At 46.1% G+C, this 17,920-nt stretch overlaps 1 protein-coding gene and 1 pseudogene across 3 annotated transcripts in view; both read left to right on the forward strand.

The window, feature by feature from the left end:
- EDARADD (EDAR associated via death domain) overlaps positions 1-6,208 on the forward strand; it is a 136,672-nt gene extending 130,464 nt beyond the window's left edge. For all 3 annotated transcript variants that reach the window (NM_001422628.1, NM_145861.4, NM_080738.5), the window contains one exon: positions 3,545-6,208. In NM_001422628.1, coding sequence (NP_001409557.1) covers positions 3,545-3,927 — 383 coding nt within the window. In that variant the 3' untranslated portion in view covers positions 3,928-6,208. The remainder of the gene's footprint in view (positions 1-3,544) is intronic.
- Positions 4,376-6,183, forward strand: ENO1P1 (enolase 1 pseudogene 1; annotated as a pseudogene).

Raw genomic sequence — 17,920 nt, forward strand, 5'->3', positions numbered from 1 at the left:
ACTGCAGGCGCCCGCCATCACGCCCAGATAACTTTTTGTATTTTTAGTAGAGACTGGGTTTCACCGTGTTAGCCGGGATGGTCTCCATCTGCTGACCTCATGATCCACCCGCCTCGGCCTCCCAAAGTGCTGGGATTACAGGCGTGAGCCACCGCGCCCAGCGAGACTGTTATTCTAAGTGAAGTAACTCAGGAATGGAAAACCAAACATCGTATGTTCTCACTCATAAGTGGGAGTTATGCTATGAGGACGCAAAGGCATAAGAATGATACGATAGACTTTGGGGACTCAGGGAAAAGGTGGGAAGGGGGTGAAGGATAAAAGATACAAATTGGGTGCAGTGTATACTGCTCGGGTGATGGGTGCACCAAAATCTCATAAATCACCACTAATGAACTTACTCATGTAACCAAATACCACCTGTTCCTCAATAAACCATGGAAATTAAAAAAGAAAAAAGAAAAAGTACCCTGGAAAAAAAATTTCTCCCTGGCCAGTCACGGTGGCTCATACCTGTAATCCCAGCAATTCGAGAGGCTGAGGCAGGAGGATCACTTGAGCCCAGTAGTTCAAAACCAGCCAGTGCAACATAGTGGGACCCTGTCTCAAATAAAATCTAAAAATTAGCCAGGTGTGTTGGTGCATGTCTGTGGTCCCAGCTACTCAGGAGGCTGAGGTGAGAGTATTGCTTGAGCCTAGGAGGTTAAGGCGGCAGTGAGCCGTGATTGTGCCACTGCCATCCAACCTGGGCAACAAAGCAAGACCCTGTCTCAAAAAAAAAGAAAAAAAAAACCTCTCTATTCGCCTTTTAAGAATACCTGGGCTTCTCTGTGTACACTTAAGCTTCATTGGAGTCTTTAGACTTTTTTTTTGCTGTATCTGTCCAGTTACCAAGTCCCAGCTTCTACTCCATGCTCCCCATGCTCTCTTCCTATTTTATTTTCCATGACTGCCTCGGTATAACTTGTGCTCAACCAAACTGGACTACTCAATTCCCTGCATTTTCTTTTTTAAAGTTTAATCAAAAAAAAAAAGAAAACTGGCTGGGCACAGTGGCTTCTGCCCACAATCTCGGTGCTTTGGGAAACTGAGGCAGGAGGATTGCTTAAGGCCAAGAGTTCAAGACCAGCCTGGGTAACATAGCAAGACCTCCATCTCCACAAAAAAATTTAAAAATTGACTGAGTGTGATGGTGTGCACCTAGTCCCAGCTGCTTGGGAGGCTGAGGCAGGAGAATTGCTTGAGCCCAGGAGTTCCAGGTTATGATGAGCTATGACTGTGCCACCGCACTCCAGCCAGGGTAACAGAGTGGGACTGTCTCAAAAAACAAAACAAAATCCCTAATATAATCTCAGTGTGCCTTTTAAGTATGCCATATATATATATATATATATATATATATATATATATATATCACATTTTCTTTATCCACTCATTGATTTTCATGTAGTTCTAATCGTAGAATTCATACATTCTTTCTATCTTCCATCTTTCACATAACATCACAAACATTTTCTAGGTTGCCATATTGTCTTCATAGTTACTTAAATAATATTCCATCAAGTAGCACAATCATTTATTTCACTAGTCCTCTAACTGTAGACATTTTGGTTGTTTTTGAAACTTAATAATGTAAATAACACCGTGATAACAATGTTTATGTAAATTCATATTTTGGATTATCTCCTTAGGGTGGATTCCCAGAAGTCACATTAGTAGGTCAAAGAGTATGAGCCTATTTTCAAGGCTCTTGTTTTATTACCTTTTAATTTCCACTTGCCTCAATATTGCTGGTTTGCTCCCTTATGATCACCAGAGTTACTCCGTCGGTCCAAATTCTTTACCTTCCGAAACTGGGAAGGCCATGACTCAATGTTATATATATAGTAAAGGCTACTATAACCTTCCCCAGAATTTTCCAAGCCAGTGGTCTCTAAAGTGACCTTTGGCTGTTAAAATCTGAATTCAGAGGGTTCATGAGACTCAGTGTTGTTGTAGAATTTAAGCTCCTTAATTTGCCACGTTGTTTAGACACCACTTAATACTTTATTGCAAATGACTTGTCAACGCCTCTCACCTACAAACTTCATCCTCCTACAAATATACCTCCTGCTAATCAAATGAGGCTACAGTTGAGTCTTTAAGTTTCAGTAGAAAGATGGCCCTTCCTCTGGGGTAGGCGCATGCTCTTCATGCTGAAGCTCAGCTGAAAAGCCTCCTGCTGAGTTTTCTGCCTCTTTCCCTCCCACTGCACACACCCCAGGGTGTTGGCGCCACTTCAAAGGGAGCCTGTGGATGAAGAAAACACAGGTAAAGGCAGAGGGCTCATAAGGGGGCCATAAATTTAAAAAGTTAAGATTCCTGGCACTATCAACTCTCACTTGTTTTCAAATATGCATATGGAGTGGATATTCCAGTTTTCATGTCTGTGTTGTTGTTTTTAAAAAAAGACCTTTCAAAGAACTGTGCATTTTTTACAGGCTGACAGGCTGTGTTTGGTGTTAAACTGTCAGGGCTGACTGGTCACTTGGAAAGGGCAAGGGCTGAGGTGCATGCAAGTGTCGGCTGGTTACTCACAGACACAGCAGCCCCTTTTACCCCGGAGAGAGTTCTGTTTGCTGGAGCCCTTATTCTGGCCAGCAGTGTCACAAATGCACACTGTAAGACATAGACAGTCTTGGAAAGAAAGGGAAACTGGCTTTAAAAATTCTTACTCCTTCTAGCAAAGCAATTCATCTTTGGCTATAAAGAATAACACAGCCAGGTGCGGTGGCTCATGCTTGTAATCCCAGCACTTTGGGAGGTCAAGGTGGGCAGATCACTTGAGTCTAGGAGTTCAAGACCAGCCTGGGAAACATGGTGAAACCCCACCTCTACCAAAAAAAAAAAAAAGAAAGAAAGAAAAGATTAGCCAGGTTTGGTGGTACGTGCCTGTAGTCCCAGGTACTCGGGAAGCTGAGGTGGGAGGATCGCTTGAGCCTGGAGGGCGGAGGTTGCAGTGAGCCGAGATCATGCCACTGCACTCCAGCCTGGGCAACAGAGTGACACCCTGTATCAAAAAAAAAAAAAAAAAAGAACAGTAACACATTATTAGAAATGAGCATTCTGAGGCCAGGCACGGTGGCTCATGCCTATAATCGCAGCACTTTGGGAGGCCGAGGCGGGTGGATCACAAGGTCAGGAGATCGAGACCATCCTGGCTAACACGGTGAAACCCCGTCTTTACTAAAAACACAAAAAATTAGCCGGGTGCAGTGGCGGGTGCCTATAGTCCCAGCTACTCAGGAGGCTGAGGCAGGAGAATGGCGTGAACCCCTGGGAGGCGGAGCTTGCAGTGAGCCGAGATAGTGCCACTGCACTCCAGCCTGGGCGAAAGAGCGAGACTCCATCTCAAAAAAAAAAAAAAAAAGAAAGAAACGAGCATTCTGAAATAGTCTTCCATATGATGCTTTTGACAATTCAGCAGGAAAATAAAGGATGTAAGAAATGAATGCATATGTTAGGCCTCTTGTTGACCTGTGGACTAAATTGTTTCTCCCTGCAGAGATCAGCAAGGACAACTCCTGCAAAGAAAACTGTACTTGTTCCTCCTGCTTGCTCCGGGCCCCCACCATAAGTGACTTGCTCAATGATCAGGACTTACTAGACGTGATCAGGATAAAGCTGGATCCGTGTCACCCAACGGTGAAAAACTGGAGGAATTTTGCAAGCAAATGGGGGATGTCCTATGACGAATTGTGCTTCCTGGAGCAGAGGCCACAGAGCCCCACCTTGGAGTTCTTGCTCCGGAACAGTCAGAGGACGGTGGGCCAGCTGATGGAGCTCTGCAGGCTCTACCACAGGGCCGACGTGGAGAAGGTTCTGCGCAGGTGGGTGGACGAGGAGTGGCCCAAGCGGGAGCGTGGAGACCCCTCCAGGCACTTCTAGAGCTCTTCTTCTTCCTTCATTGGCCTCTCCGGATGTTGAAACAACCACAGGTCAAGAAGGAATGTGAATCTGTTGTTTTATAAGAGTTTAGGACAAGGACGTGGAACAGTGGACACTGGTTTTCCCCAAAGCTGGCAGTTTTGTGGAGGGGTAGCTTGTTTCGGTGGTGGATCTCTGTTTATTTTTGCACATCTGTTATAATTTAATATTCAAATCTGGAATTAAGAAAACATATTTTCTAGTATCCTCTAAGGGCCAAAGTCCTACAATCGGAATGGATTCATGCCACGTTGAAGATAAAATTATCCTCTCTCTGAAATACGGTAAAGATTTAAATAGGTCCTGAGACTGTTGATAGCCCCAGACATACCCACAGCATTATATGTAACATCTCTCCTGATCAGTGCCATTCCCACGGTTTCAAAGAAAACAGCTACAAGGAATGCTTACCTGAGTGTCTGCAGCACCCTCCACTTCTCTCCTAGGCAATGAGACCCAGTGGCTAGAAATTCACCATGTCTATTCTCAAGATCCATGCCAGGGAGCTCTTTGACTCTCGTGGGAATCCCACTGTTGAGGTTGATCTCTTCACCTCAGAAGGTCTCTTCAGAGCTGCTGTGCCCAGTGGTGCTTCAACTGGTATCTATGAGGTCCTAGAGCTCCAGGACAATGATAAGACTCGCTATATGGGGAAGGGTGTCTCAAAGCCTGTTGAGCCCATCAATAAAACTATTGCACCTGTCCTGGTTAGCAAGAAACTGAACGTCACAGAACAAGAGAAGATTGACAAACTTATGATAGAGATGGATGGAACAGAAAATAAATCTAAATTTGGTGCAAATGCCATTCTGGGAGTGTCCCTCGCTGCCTGCAAAGCTAGTGCTGTTGAGAAGGGGGTTCCCCTGTACCACCACATCGCCGACTTGTCTGGCAACTCCAAAGTCATCTTGCCAGTCCCGGTGTTCAATGTCATCAATGGCAGTTCTCATGCTGTCACCAAGCTGGCCATGCAGGAGTTCATGGTCCTCCCAGTCGGTGCAGCAAACTTCAGGGAAGCCATGCCCATTGGAGCGGAGGTTTACCACAGCCTGAAGAATGTCATCAAGGAGAAATATGGGAAAGATGCCACCGGTGTGGGGGATGGAGGCGCGTTTGCTCCCAACATCCTGGAGAATAAAGAAGGCCTGGAGCTGCTGAAGACTGCGATTGGGAAAGCTGGCTACACTGATAAGGTGATCGTCAGCATGGACGTAGAGGCCTCCGAGTTCTTCAGGTCTGGAAAGTATGACCTGGAATTCAAGTTTCTCGACGACCCCACCAGGTACATCTCACCTGACTGTCTGGCTGACCTGTACAAGTCCTTCATCAAAAACTACCCAGTGGTGTCTACTGAAGATCCCTTTGACCAGGATGACTGGGGAGCTTGGCAGAAGTTCACGGCCAGTGCAGGAATCCAGGTAGTGGAGGATGATCTCAGAGTGACCAACCCAAAGAGGACAGCCTCGGCCGTGAATGAGAAGAAGTGCAACTGCCTCCTGCTCAAAGTGAACCAGATTCGCTCTGTGACTGAGTCCCTTCAGGCGTGCAAGCTGGCCCAGGCCAATGGTTGGTGTGTCATGGTGCCTCATCATTCTGGGGAGACTGAAAATACCTTCATCACTGACCTGGTGGTGGGGCTGTGACCTGGGCAGCTCAAGACTGGTGCCCCTTGCTGATCTGAGCGCTTGGCCAAGTACAACCAGCTCCTCAGAATTGAAGAGGAGCTGGGCAGCAAGGCTAAGTTTGCCGGCAGGAACTTCAGAAACCCCCCAGCCAAGTAAGCTGTGGGCAGGCAAGCCCTTCAGTCACCTGGTGGCTAATTAGACCCCTCCCCTTGTGTCAACTCCGGCAGCTCAAGACCCCCGAGCAACATTTGTAGGGGCCGCTGCTAGTTAGCTACCCTTGCCCACCGCCGTGGAGTTCGCACCTCTTCCTTAGAACTTCTACAGAAGCAGGTTGCAGTGAGCCGAGATTGCGCCACTGCACACCAGTCTGGAGACAGAGTGAGAGTCCGTCCCAGAAAAAAAAAAAAAAAAAAAGAACTTCTACAGAAGCCAAGCTCCCTGGAGCCCTGTTGGCAGCTCTAGCCTTGCAGTCATGTAATTGGCCCAAATCACCGGAGCCACGTGACCCTCCAGTGTCATCTCCGGGGTGGCCACAGGCAAGATCCCCAGTGATTTTGTGCTCAAAATAAAAAGCCTCATTGACCCATGAGAAAAAAGAAAACAGCAATGAGAAGTGACCCTGTCTTGTTGGTTTATTACTTTTTTTGTTATAAAGTACTTTGGTGAATTAACAGGATGCTAGTATTACATGGTGATACTCTTCAGAACACCTGCCCCATCTTTTTTATGCAAGTATGTTTACAATCAGTGGACTATCAGTAATGTCATTTGCTCAAATATTTTTTAAAGACCTACAGAAACTGATGGTTATTGGGAAAACAGTCAGGAAGTAGTGAGGTAATCAAGGCCATGGGAATAGTGTTTGACAAAGAGAGTACTCCAAATCCCTTTTGGTTACCCAGGACTTTAAAAAAGAGAGTACTCCATCACACCTGTAATCCCAGCACTTTGGGAGGCCGAGGCGGGTGGATCACGAGGTCAGGAGATCGAGACCATCATAGCTAACATGGTGAAACCCCGTCTCTACTAAAAATACAAAACATTAGCCGGGTGTGGTGGCGGGCGCCTGTAGTCCCATCTACTCAGGAGGCTGAGGCAGGAGGATGGCTTGAACCCAGGAGGCGGAGCTTGCAGTGAGCCGAGATAGCACCACTGCACTCCAGCCTGGGCGACAGAGCAAGACTGTGTCTCAAAAAAAAAAAAAAAAGAGTGCTCCAAATCTCCTTTGGTTACCCGGGACTTTAAAAAATTTAATGTGATAGTTAGGCCGGGTGTGGTTGCTCACGCCTGTAATCCTAGCACTTTTGGAAGCTGAGGCGGGTGGATCATTTGAGGTCAGGAGTTGGAGACCAGCCTGGCCAACATGGCGAAACCCCGTCTCTACTAAAAATACAAAAATTAGCCAGGCGTGGTGGTGGGCGCCTGTAATCCCAGCTCCTCGGGAAATTGAGGCACTAGAATTGCTTGAACCCAGGAGGTGGAGGTTGCAGTGAGCCGAGATTGCGCCACTGCACTCCAGCCTAGGCAACAGAGCGAGGTTCCATCTCAAAAAAAAAAATTGTAATAATAATAATAACAATGTAATATTTACTTTTTCATCCTTTATATAAGGCTGAGTGCTTCACCCCTGAGATGAAGCTCAGTTAAGAAATAAATGAAAATCCCGTAACCTATTGGTGAAAGGTAACCACCCCCAGCTCCTACTAGCCCAACTTAAAACAGGACCCCATCACACTACACAGCAGTTTAGCCAAGAAAAGGGGGTCTTTATGTGGACACTGGGAGGGAAGGGATTCCTTCAAATCCAAACTTTAAAGGATTTTAAACAAATGAAACATTTGGTTCAAAGAATAGCTGATGTTTTTATTTGATGATTTTGGAGAAAGGAAAGTGTGGGGCATAATGGGGTTTGTTATTGGAAAGATCAGATTTTCTAGGTAATTTGGGTGGAGAAAGACAAAAGGCAAAGCTTTGACTGACAATTCCATGAAAGTGCTATTTGGTTTTGGTTATGGGCTTAGAAAATTAAGACACTTAGTTCAATTTGGAAGGATTCTGTATAAGTCCCTGATTAAAATAAGCAAAAATGATGAATAACACTGATTCAGTGCAACCGAAAGATTAGGATTAACTCAAAAGAAAGTTATTTTCTAAACCACCGTGATTTTTTCCACTGACAATTACAGCGGTTTTCATTAGGTTGCTGACACATGAAGTCAGCCTCACCATCAGTTGCAAACTCTAAACTAGCAAAATCTATTACAGAGACATACTTATCACTTCTGATTTAGTGCTAATCTCACCCAGCTCATCTTCTCTTGTCAGATTTATGAGATAAATGTCAGATTTATCACCAGATATATTGAAAGTAACAGCCAGTAATAAAATGTGAGATTTTAAAAAATAGATTCTTTGGCAAATTGGTGTTCAGTGAGGCAATTATTAAACATTTTTGTCAGCCAGGTTCCAGGCACTGTACAGAAGCTGTTAGGAGTTCTCACCATCTACGAATTTGATTTGATGTATTGTATTCTCATTAAGCTATGTGTGACACATTGTCATTTATTAGCCCAGAATTTAAAAAGCTGTGGTTGTTTAGTGTTGGTGGTAGCAGACCCCAGCAGTCTGATGGTCTGCACTCCTTCCATCCTGCCACCCCCTGGGGATGCAAAGACTGGATCTCAGGGTGACAATCTTCTTGCGCACGACTGCCTGGCCAAGTGCCTCCAGAAAGCCCCTTCCTTCCCCCATTTCCACCCAGGCCCACTTGTCACCTCAGCCTAACACCAGCCTGCACAGTCTACGGCCACCATCCAGGCAGTGGGAGAGGGAAAGGGGAGGAGGGTGGAAGGGAAAACCCCTTTCTATACCTCTCCTCAGCCTGCTCTTTCCTCCTCCCACCTCTGAGCCTCCGCCTCCCCCAGACAGAGACAGAAAAGATGGAAGAACAGGTGGGACCTCCACCCCCACCCCAAGCCTTCATCCCGGTGGAGGGGGATGGGAAGATTTCTCTCATTTCAAGAGACTCCTCCACCTCAGACTGACAAAAGGCAGAGGCCTGGCAAGAAGAAAGGGCACCCTGGGGAAGAAGGGCATTGAAATAGCACCTGCCGGGCCGGGCACGGTGGCTCACGCCTGTAATCCCAACACTTTGGGAGGCCGAGGCGCGTGGATCACGGGGTCAGGAGTTCAAGACCAGCCTGGCCAAGATGGTGAAACCCCGTCTCTACTAAAAATACAAAAAGTAGCCAGGCGTGGTAGCGGGTGCCTGTAGTCCCAGCTACTCCGGAGGCTGAGACAGGGAACTGCTTGAACTGGGAAGGTGGAGGTTGCAGTGAGCCAAGATCGTGCCATGCACTCCAGCCTGGGCGACAGAGTGAGACTCCATCTCAAAAAACCAAAACAGAAATAGCACCTGCCCCCACCCCCTGCCCGCCCTCCTTCCCGCCCCCGTCCTTTCCTAGACTTCACTCAAGTCCTCTGCTCAGAGGAAGCCCTGCTCTACTGAAAGCCACAAGGCCATTCTCGGTGGCCTGGGACAGCAGCCCAAGACGTGGGCTTCTAACTGCCTCCGAAGGGGCCACAGCAGCAAACATAAATAAAAATAGTAAAATGTTCTTAAATTATAAATTTAAAATTTGGAAAATTTAGTGAGCACAGCTTCTAGGGGGCATGTTTCCAAAATTCCAACCACAAAAGTGCAGTCTCAAAACTGACTGTAAACCGAACATACCATCTCATCTCAGACACAGCTATTGTTCACGAGTGTCAGTGGAACTTTCCTCCCTTGAGATGGACCAAAAACGTCAAGCAAGATGACATTTGCTGATTTGCAGGCTTCAGGCAGATAAGATACGGGCAGAGTTGAGTGTGCGCCTTTACCCTTAAATTCAGGAATAGCAGGAACAGCAGGAAAAACGTAGGACCACAGCGTACGTCCCACTTGTCTTTCATTTTGATATCATTATTTCCAGAGTCCTGATTGCTAGTCATGTCTAACACTGGATTTATTATCATCTCATTGCTAGCATGGCTAGGAAAGCTTTGAACATCCTTATCATTCTATTTTAATTCCTATTATAATTGCATGGGGAAGTTCCAGGGTGGAAAAATTTCCTTTTCTTTCTTTTTTTTTTTTTAATAGGAGAGTTGGCTGGGCACGGTGGCTCACGCCTGTGATCCCAACACTTTGGGAGGCCAAGGCGGGTGGATCACCTGAGGTCAGGAGTTCGAGACCAACCTGGCCAACATAGTGAAAACCTATCTCTACTAAAAATACAAAGTTAGCTGGGTATGGTGGTGCACACCTATAGTCCCAGCTACTGGGGAGGCTGAGACAGGAGAATCACTTGAATACGGGAGGCAGCAGTGAGCCAAGATCATGCCACTGCACTCCAACCTGGGAGAGACAGAGTGCCATCTCAAAAAAAACAAACAAAAGAGTTGATATAAATTTGCTGTTATAATTTGACTGTACTGTTTCTTGCACATGTTGACATCTGTAATGACTGGAGTTTATGAAAATTTTTGATGAGTAGGAGCATACCATTAACAGAGAGAAATTTAATCAAAAGATTTTTAAAGTTCCTTCAGAGTCCAGACTTTGACTAAGTGTAGTATGATTTATATCTATGTTGCATACAAAAATATCAAACAGTAATTCCCAACTGAAATACAAGTATCAATCAATTGTGTAACAATGCAAAATCATTTAATTTAAAGTTAATTTATAGCAAATGAGTACTGTAATAGCATAAGCATGCCGATACTTTACAAAGGAGAGAGTGGAAAGGTAGGATATTATAACTAATTGATCAAATCATTGTTAAAATTTAAGTTTATTAATACTTTTACTTCTGTCCGTAGGGATCCATGTTAAATTGGGTATATTATAAACTTAACTGCTAATGATGAGGTCCTTTTGCTATTAGAAATCTATTTTTTATTTTTCTTTATTATTTTTTGAGGCAGGGTCTTGCTCTGTTGCCCAGGCTGGAGTGCAGTGGTGAAATTATAGCTCACTGCAGCCTCAACCTCCTGGGCTCAAGGAATCCTCCTGCCTCAGCCTCCCAAGTAATGGAAACTGCAGTCGTATACAAGCACACCCAGCAATTTTTTTTTTTTTTTTTGGTAGAGATGGGGTTTAGCTATGCTGTCCAAGCTGGTCTCAAACTCCTGGCCTCAAGTGATCCTCCCACCTTAGCCTCCAAAGTGCTGGGATTACAGGCGGGAGCCACCATTCCCAGCCTAGAATGAAATATCTTTAGCTAAATTACAGGGCTGGATGTGGTGGCTCATGCCTGTAATCCCAGCACTTTGGGAGACTGAGGGCGGGAGGGTCACTTGAGATCAGGAGTTTGAGACCACCCTGGGCAACACAGTGAGAATTCTGTCTCTATTTTAAAAAGAGAAAAATCTAGGGTATATTCTCTTAAACAAAACTTTCATCTATAATGGTAGTTGATGAGGTCCTATGTAATATGCATTTCCTTGGTTGCAATAGCAAATTACTACACACACAGAAAGGAAAGCCACACTCCCCGACACATCTACACACAGGAGGACTCACACAGGAGGGAGACTCAAAGAAGGCACGTGACTTTTACATTGTTAGGGCTTACATGGTCCTGGGATTTCCCACCAGTACTCAAAAGATCAATTGTATGAACAAGTCACCTATTTTTACGGCACTAAATAATTATTATTCAACAACATGGAAAATATGTGGTAGCAGACCTGGATTTTCCTTAAGAGTTATTTTTATGTGGTACTGCCCCCTGCTGGAATATAACATCTATACACATCCTTTCTGGCTGGGCTGACATCCTAAAACCAGCCCAGGACCAGCCTTTTATTAATATTAATTCTTGGCCAGGCGCGGTGGCTCGCCTGTAATCCCAGTACTTTGGGAGTCCAGGGCGGGCGGATCACGAGGTCAGGAGTTCAAGACCAGCCTGGCCAACATGGTGAAACTCCGGCTCTACTAAAAATACAAAACTTAGCTGGGCATAGTGGCACATTCCTGTAATCCCAGTTACTCGAGAGGCTGAGGCAGGAGAATTGCCTGAACCGGGACCCGGGAGGTGGAGGTTGCGGTGAGCCGAAATCGTGCCACTGCACTCCAGCCTGGGCTACAGAGCGAGACTCCGTCTCAAAAATAAATAAATAAAAATTAAAATTAAAAAATAATTCTTGGTTGTATGCTAAAAGCCTTGCAAGTAGCCCCACTGGAAGATAGGAAGAGTGGGGCTGTTTTACAAATGAGCACATATAAGCAGAACGAGGCCGCCATAATTGAAATGAAGGTCCCCGTCCCGTGGATGTGTTCATCGCTACTTCACCCTGTCATTCGGATCCAATGTGTGACCAGCCAGCTCCAATAACAGTTCCATACTCTGGGAATTATTTTTAACACTCGGCAGGATGCTTTCTTCCTGTAGTTTTAGGCTTAGCCCTTTGTGCACTTTTGGTCTCTTTCCCTTTCAATTTAGCATCCAAGGAAGCGGCTGTGACCAAAGGTAGCTGTCATGTTAAAGGACAAAGTTCATAGTTACAGCAAATATTGACCCAGAGCACTATCCTTGCCCCTTCCTCTATAATGTGCAATGCAAAAATATGTTCTTTTAAGTACAATATTAATAAGTAAGGTCTAGGAGATTTTCTTCCCCCTTCCTTTCTCTTTTAGATGAGTAAATGTTTTATCTAGTTTTGAGGAGACTATCCTTCTTATCACATCTCTTTCCACTTCTGCTCTCCTTGTTTTATAATTTTCCTCTCCTTTGGGTCCGTGTCATTATTTCGTGTCGCTTGTTTTCGAGCCATGCACTCATTTATCAAATCAGATTTCCTCCGTATGCCGACGGCCTTCCTCTCCCTGCCACGGGCTTCCTTTTTCCCTGACTATGCAGAAGCAATTTGTTCGCTTGTGTTTCTTTTTTTTTTTGAGACAGAGTCTCGCTCTGTCACCCAGGCTGGAGTGCAGTGGCGACATCTCGGCTCACTGCAACCTCCGCCTGTCAGGTTCAAGCAATTCTCATGCGTCAGCCTCCAGAGTAGCTGGGATTACAGGTGTTTGCCACCAAGGCTGGCTAATTTTTAGTAGAGACGGGGTTTCACCATGTTGGCCAGGCTTGTCTCGAACTCCCAACATCAGTTGATCCACCCATCTCGGCCTTCCAAAATGCTGGGATTATAGGCATGAACCACCGCATCTGGCCTTGTCTTTCATCCTTAATGACACTTTAGTCCTAATAATGCTAAAATCATTTTCTACTCTTTGAATTGAAACACAGCTTATCTACATGAGCCCAAGGCAGTAGCAACATTCACCTCCATTTCTTCTCTGATCTCTACCTTCTGAACCCTGTGGACTTGGTTGTAAATGGATGAGGGCAAGTCTTGCTTCCTTCCCCTGTGTTTACAGAGGATCGTGGCTGAGATGCTGGGCCACACTCTGGGCCTGCTGGCACCCCTGGGCCGGTGGCTGCTGCCCCTCAGGGTGCTCACCACCTAGACCAGAAGAACCAAGGTGAGGGAGAGCCTGTTTTCTTTCTTCCTGTGGCTGCGGGGGCTGTGAGGCATGGGTCTAGTGGCTGTGTTTAGCTGGGGATGCCTCCTAGAAATCAGCTCCACCGTTGAAGAGATCAAAGCAATGCACAGTGCCACTTGAAATGAAACGATTGAGCTTATCAGCGCTTTTGCAAATGTACAAGAGGGTAGCTCCCCCGGACATCCTGAACTGAGCCATGCTCTTCTATTTTGTGTAACAGCCCAGTGACCCCTGAATCTTCCCCTGAGGCAGGTCCCCGAAGCTTCATGGAGGATGTTCCTCAGCTGACCAAGGTGAGGCTCTTGAGCTCCTAAATCTTTGTGATACTGTTTATACATCTTTGTGCTGTACTTTTTAAGCTGACTTCGTGTTATCACCTGTATGATTTTATGTTTTGCTTCTAAATAAGTACAGATTATTTTAAACTCTAATAATGGGTGCTACAAAATTAAAGATTATGTCAATCACTGTCTCTGATGAGTTATTTTATGTAGATTTCAACACAATCATTGATTCATGTGTACTCTTGGTCAGTCATCAGTCATCTGAGTACCTAGTGGGTTTCCAAAATGGGTCCTGGATGCTGGGGATGCAAAGATAAGCAACACATTTCTATCCTCAACAGCCTGTAGATGAGGGAGAATCACTGCGGACAATCAGGGAAGTTACCGGAGAGAGCAGTGCACATGTGGTCTAGAAACTGGTGGAACAAAGTTGAGAATCACTGAACTAGGAGGAAAGACAGGTCACTGACAATCCAAGGCACAGTGACTCACACTCTAATCTCAGCACTTTGGGAGGCCAAGGCAGGAAGATCCACTGAGCTCAGGAGATAAAGACCAGCCTGGCTGACCTATGGAGACCCTTCTCTACCAAAAAAAAAAAAAAAAAAAAAAACATTAGCCTGGCATGGTGGGGTGTGCCTGTGGTACCAGCTATTCAGGAGGCTGAAGTGGGAGGATCGCTTGAGCCCGGGAGGTCAAGACTGCAGTGAATCATGATCACACCATTGCACTCCAGCCTAGGGAAGAGAGCAAGAAAGACCCTGTCTCAAAAACAGAAAAAAATCCAGTAAAATGTTTCAGATGTTGTTAAAGGTGATTTCACTGTTACTTTTCACCTCTCCTCATTTTACATCTCTGACCTATGCTTGTCCTCTGACTTGCCAGACATTCCTAGCTATGGACTTGATGTCTCGACATGGAGGCTCACAGGCACCCCAAACTCAGCCTGCCCTAAGCTGAACCCATGATCTTTCCTTCCAAACTTGTTTCTCACCAGAGTTCCCATCTTATCATCCACCTAGTTGTTCAAGTCATCCTTAAGACCTCCCTCTCCTTCACTGTCTATTCTACCTCCCTAATATCTCTTAAATCCTTCCCTCCTCTCCCACCTCACAGCCACCATCCTAACCTAAGCAGCCACCCTTTCTCACCCTATAATGACCTCCTGGCTGTTCTCTATAGAGTTGGTGAATCCTTTCGTCTTCAGCCTGAACCCCCTTTCGAGGGATTCTTATATATATACATAGATATACACAAATATATATGTACATATGTACATATGTGTGTATATATGTACATATGTGTATGGATATACATATGTACATATGTGGATGTACATATGTACATGTGTATGGGTGTACATATGTACATGTGTATGGGTGTACATATGTACATATGTGTATGGGTGTACATATGTACATATGTATATGGGTGTACATATGTACATGTGTGTATGGGTGTACATATGTACATGTGTGTATGGGTGTACATATGTACATGTGTGTATATATGTACATGTGTGTATGTACGCATGTACATATGTGCATGTATGTGCATGTGTATGTGTGTGTATGTACACGTGTGCATATGTGTGTATATGTGTACACGTGTACGTGTGTATATATATATATATATATATACTGGCTGGAGTGCAGTGGGAAAGTTTTGGCTCACCACAAACTCCACCTCCCAGGTTCAAGTGATTCTCCTGCCTCAGTCTCCTGAGTAGCTGGGATTACAGGCGTGCACCACCATGCCCAGCTAATTTTTGTATTTTTAGTAGAGACGGGGTTTCACCATGTTGGCCAGGCTGGTCTTGAACTCCTGACCTCAGGTGATCCACCCACCTCGGCCTCCCAAAGTGCTGGGATTACAGGCGTGAGCCACCGTGCCTGGCCGGATTCCTATCTTGAAGACGAAGCCCCAGACCATCGACACGGCCTCAAGGCCCTGCATGACGCCTCCTGCCCCAACACCTCGTGTCATCTTGCTCTCCTCTCCCGCAGCTCCTGAGGCTTTAGCCACCCTGGAATTCCAAGTCCCCATGGTCATTTTTTTTTCCTGCTCAAGATATCACCATGTGCTGTCCCCTCTGCCCTTGTCTACACCCACGTGTCCTTCTCCCGCCCCGGCCACACTCATGGGGCACACTGTCCTTCCCTGGCTAATCCTCCCACACTCGATACCACTTTCTCTGGGATATTGCACCCGATCTTCAGCCGCAGTTGTCTTCCTATGACCCACTCCCACAGCTCTCGCCACAATGGTAATTGTTTGATTCCTACTTGTTGTCCCTGTGAGACTGCAAACCCCAGAGGACAGGGGCCCTGGGTTCTCCTTCGCCTCTGGATCATCAGCACTAACTGAATACCTGGCCTAGAAGAGATGCTAACGATGCTGAATGAATAAATAAGTGGAAAGACTCTCAGTAAAGCAAAACCTTTCTTTACCATTTTATGGCCGTCAAGGAGGAAAACACATTATCAGTGGAAAACGCAAAATGAGGGGATTTGCTTAGCAAACGATGAATTCCTCTGGCACCCTGGCAGCCTTGGTTTCTTTTGATGAGGTCCACCCCCTTCCATCCATCTTCTGGGCTTAAGAGATCAAAGCAAAACATGCTGTGGAATTCGATACTGGTGCAGGTTGCACAACATTGTGACTGAACTAAAAGCCACTGGATGGTACAACTGAAAATGGTGAATTGCGTGTTGCATGAATTATAACCTAACTGGGGAAAAAAAGGCTTAAAAAGAGACAAAGCTTCCCCCACAATGGAAAGGAAGGTATAATAGAAACAGCAGCTCTCAAACCTTGGCAGGATAATGAAACCCCGTTTCTATTTTTAAAAATTAGCTGGGTACAGTGGCACGTGCCTGTAGACCCAGCTACTCGGGAGGCTGAGGCTGGAAGATCGCTTGAGCCCAGGAGTTCAAGGCTGTGGTAAACTATAATCACACTACTGCACTCCAGCCTGGGTGACAGAGAAAGACCCTGTCTCAAAAAAGGAAGGAAAGAAGGAAGGAAGGAAGGAAGGAGGGAGGGAGGGAGGGAAGGAGGGAAGGAAGGAAGGAAGGAAGGAAATAGCAGCTCTGAGCTTAGAAATAGGAGTCTATTTCTAAGTGGGAGATGGGGAGAAGGAGGGAACTGGGGAGGTGAGGAAGAAGCAGGTATTGTCACCAGTGAGGACTGTGCTGTTGTGAGCCCAGCTAGGCAACTGGCAATTCCATTCTGTTAGTGACAGCTACAATAACCCAAAGCCCTCTGGAGCCCTGCTTTCCTCTGCTCTCTTCGTGGCTTGACTAGGAGCTGAAGATCCTGTACCTCTTAGAGCATCTGGGGCGCTGGGCCCTGCAGCAAATCCCATCCTCCACCCACCCCGCCTCCCTCCACCCTCCACCCACCCCACCTCCACCCTCCTCCACCTGCTGCCTCGAGGCCCCTCCCACTCCCGGGGTAGACAAAACAGTTTAGAGGCTGAAGTCACCGGGGCTGTAACTGTTGGATTTGCACATGTCATAGAAAATCATCATATGTTTTGTGTGGACTCCATGCATAACAACAAGAGAACCAACCAGACCCCATAGACAGAAGGGAGTGTGAATTGGAGACAAAATTTAAATTATGAGTTGCCTTCTATTCAGATTTCTCCCATTTTTAACAAAAAGGAGCCCAAATTCCTAAATGTTATGGTTGTTTGCAGCAACTTATCATCTTTCTCCTTTCCTTCATAGCCAAGGTTTTTGAAAGAGCTATCTGAGGCCGGGAATGGTGACTCACGCCTGTAATCCTAGCACAGAGGCTGAGGTGAGTGGATCACCTGAGGTCAGGAGTTCAAGACCACCCTGGCCAACATGGCGAAATCCCGTCTCTACTAAAAATACAAAAATTAGCCGGGCATGGTGGCGTGTGCCTGTAATCCCAGCTACTCAGGAGGCTGAGGCAGGAGAATCACTTGAACCCAGGAGGTGGAGGTTGCAGTGAGCCAAGATCTCACCACTGCACTCCAGCCTGGGCAACAGAGTGAGACTCCATCTAAAACAAAAAAAAAAGTAGCTGTCTGTTCTTTCTTCTCGAACTCTTTTTCCCGCTGGAGTCTGTGACCTGCTGCCGTCTGCCTCAAGTGAGAGGGACTAGCAGATCTGGTGAATTACCTTCTAATGCCCGTACCCTGCCCATACCAGCTTCAATCTGTATGTAGAAGCTTAGCTTGCTCCATGCATGGCCTCCAGCATCCACTGGTCACAAAATAACACAAAATAGCATGAGAGAGAATGGTCGCATGGAGCGGAGGAGCTGCTGAGACTGAACCCAAGCCAGGGCTACTGCTGGGTGGAACTGGACATGCCCAGCCCATGGGAAAGTCTTCCCACAGAAGTCATATTTGCAGGGGTCTCCCAGGAGACAGCACATTCTGAGCAAAGGAGTGAGGCAGAGATAACTATTCAGGAACCAAGAGACTCGCTGGAAAGAAGCAGAGATTTTCAGCCCAGCGT

Source organism: Homo sapiens, chromosome 1 (assembly GCF_000001405.40).
Source record: "Homo sapiens chromosome 1, GRCh38.p14 Primary Assembly".
Lineage (NCBI taxonomy): Eukaryota > Metazoa > Chordata > Mammalia > Primates > Hominidae > Homo > Homo sapiens.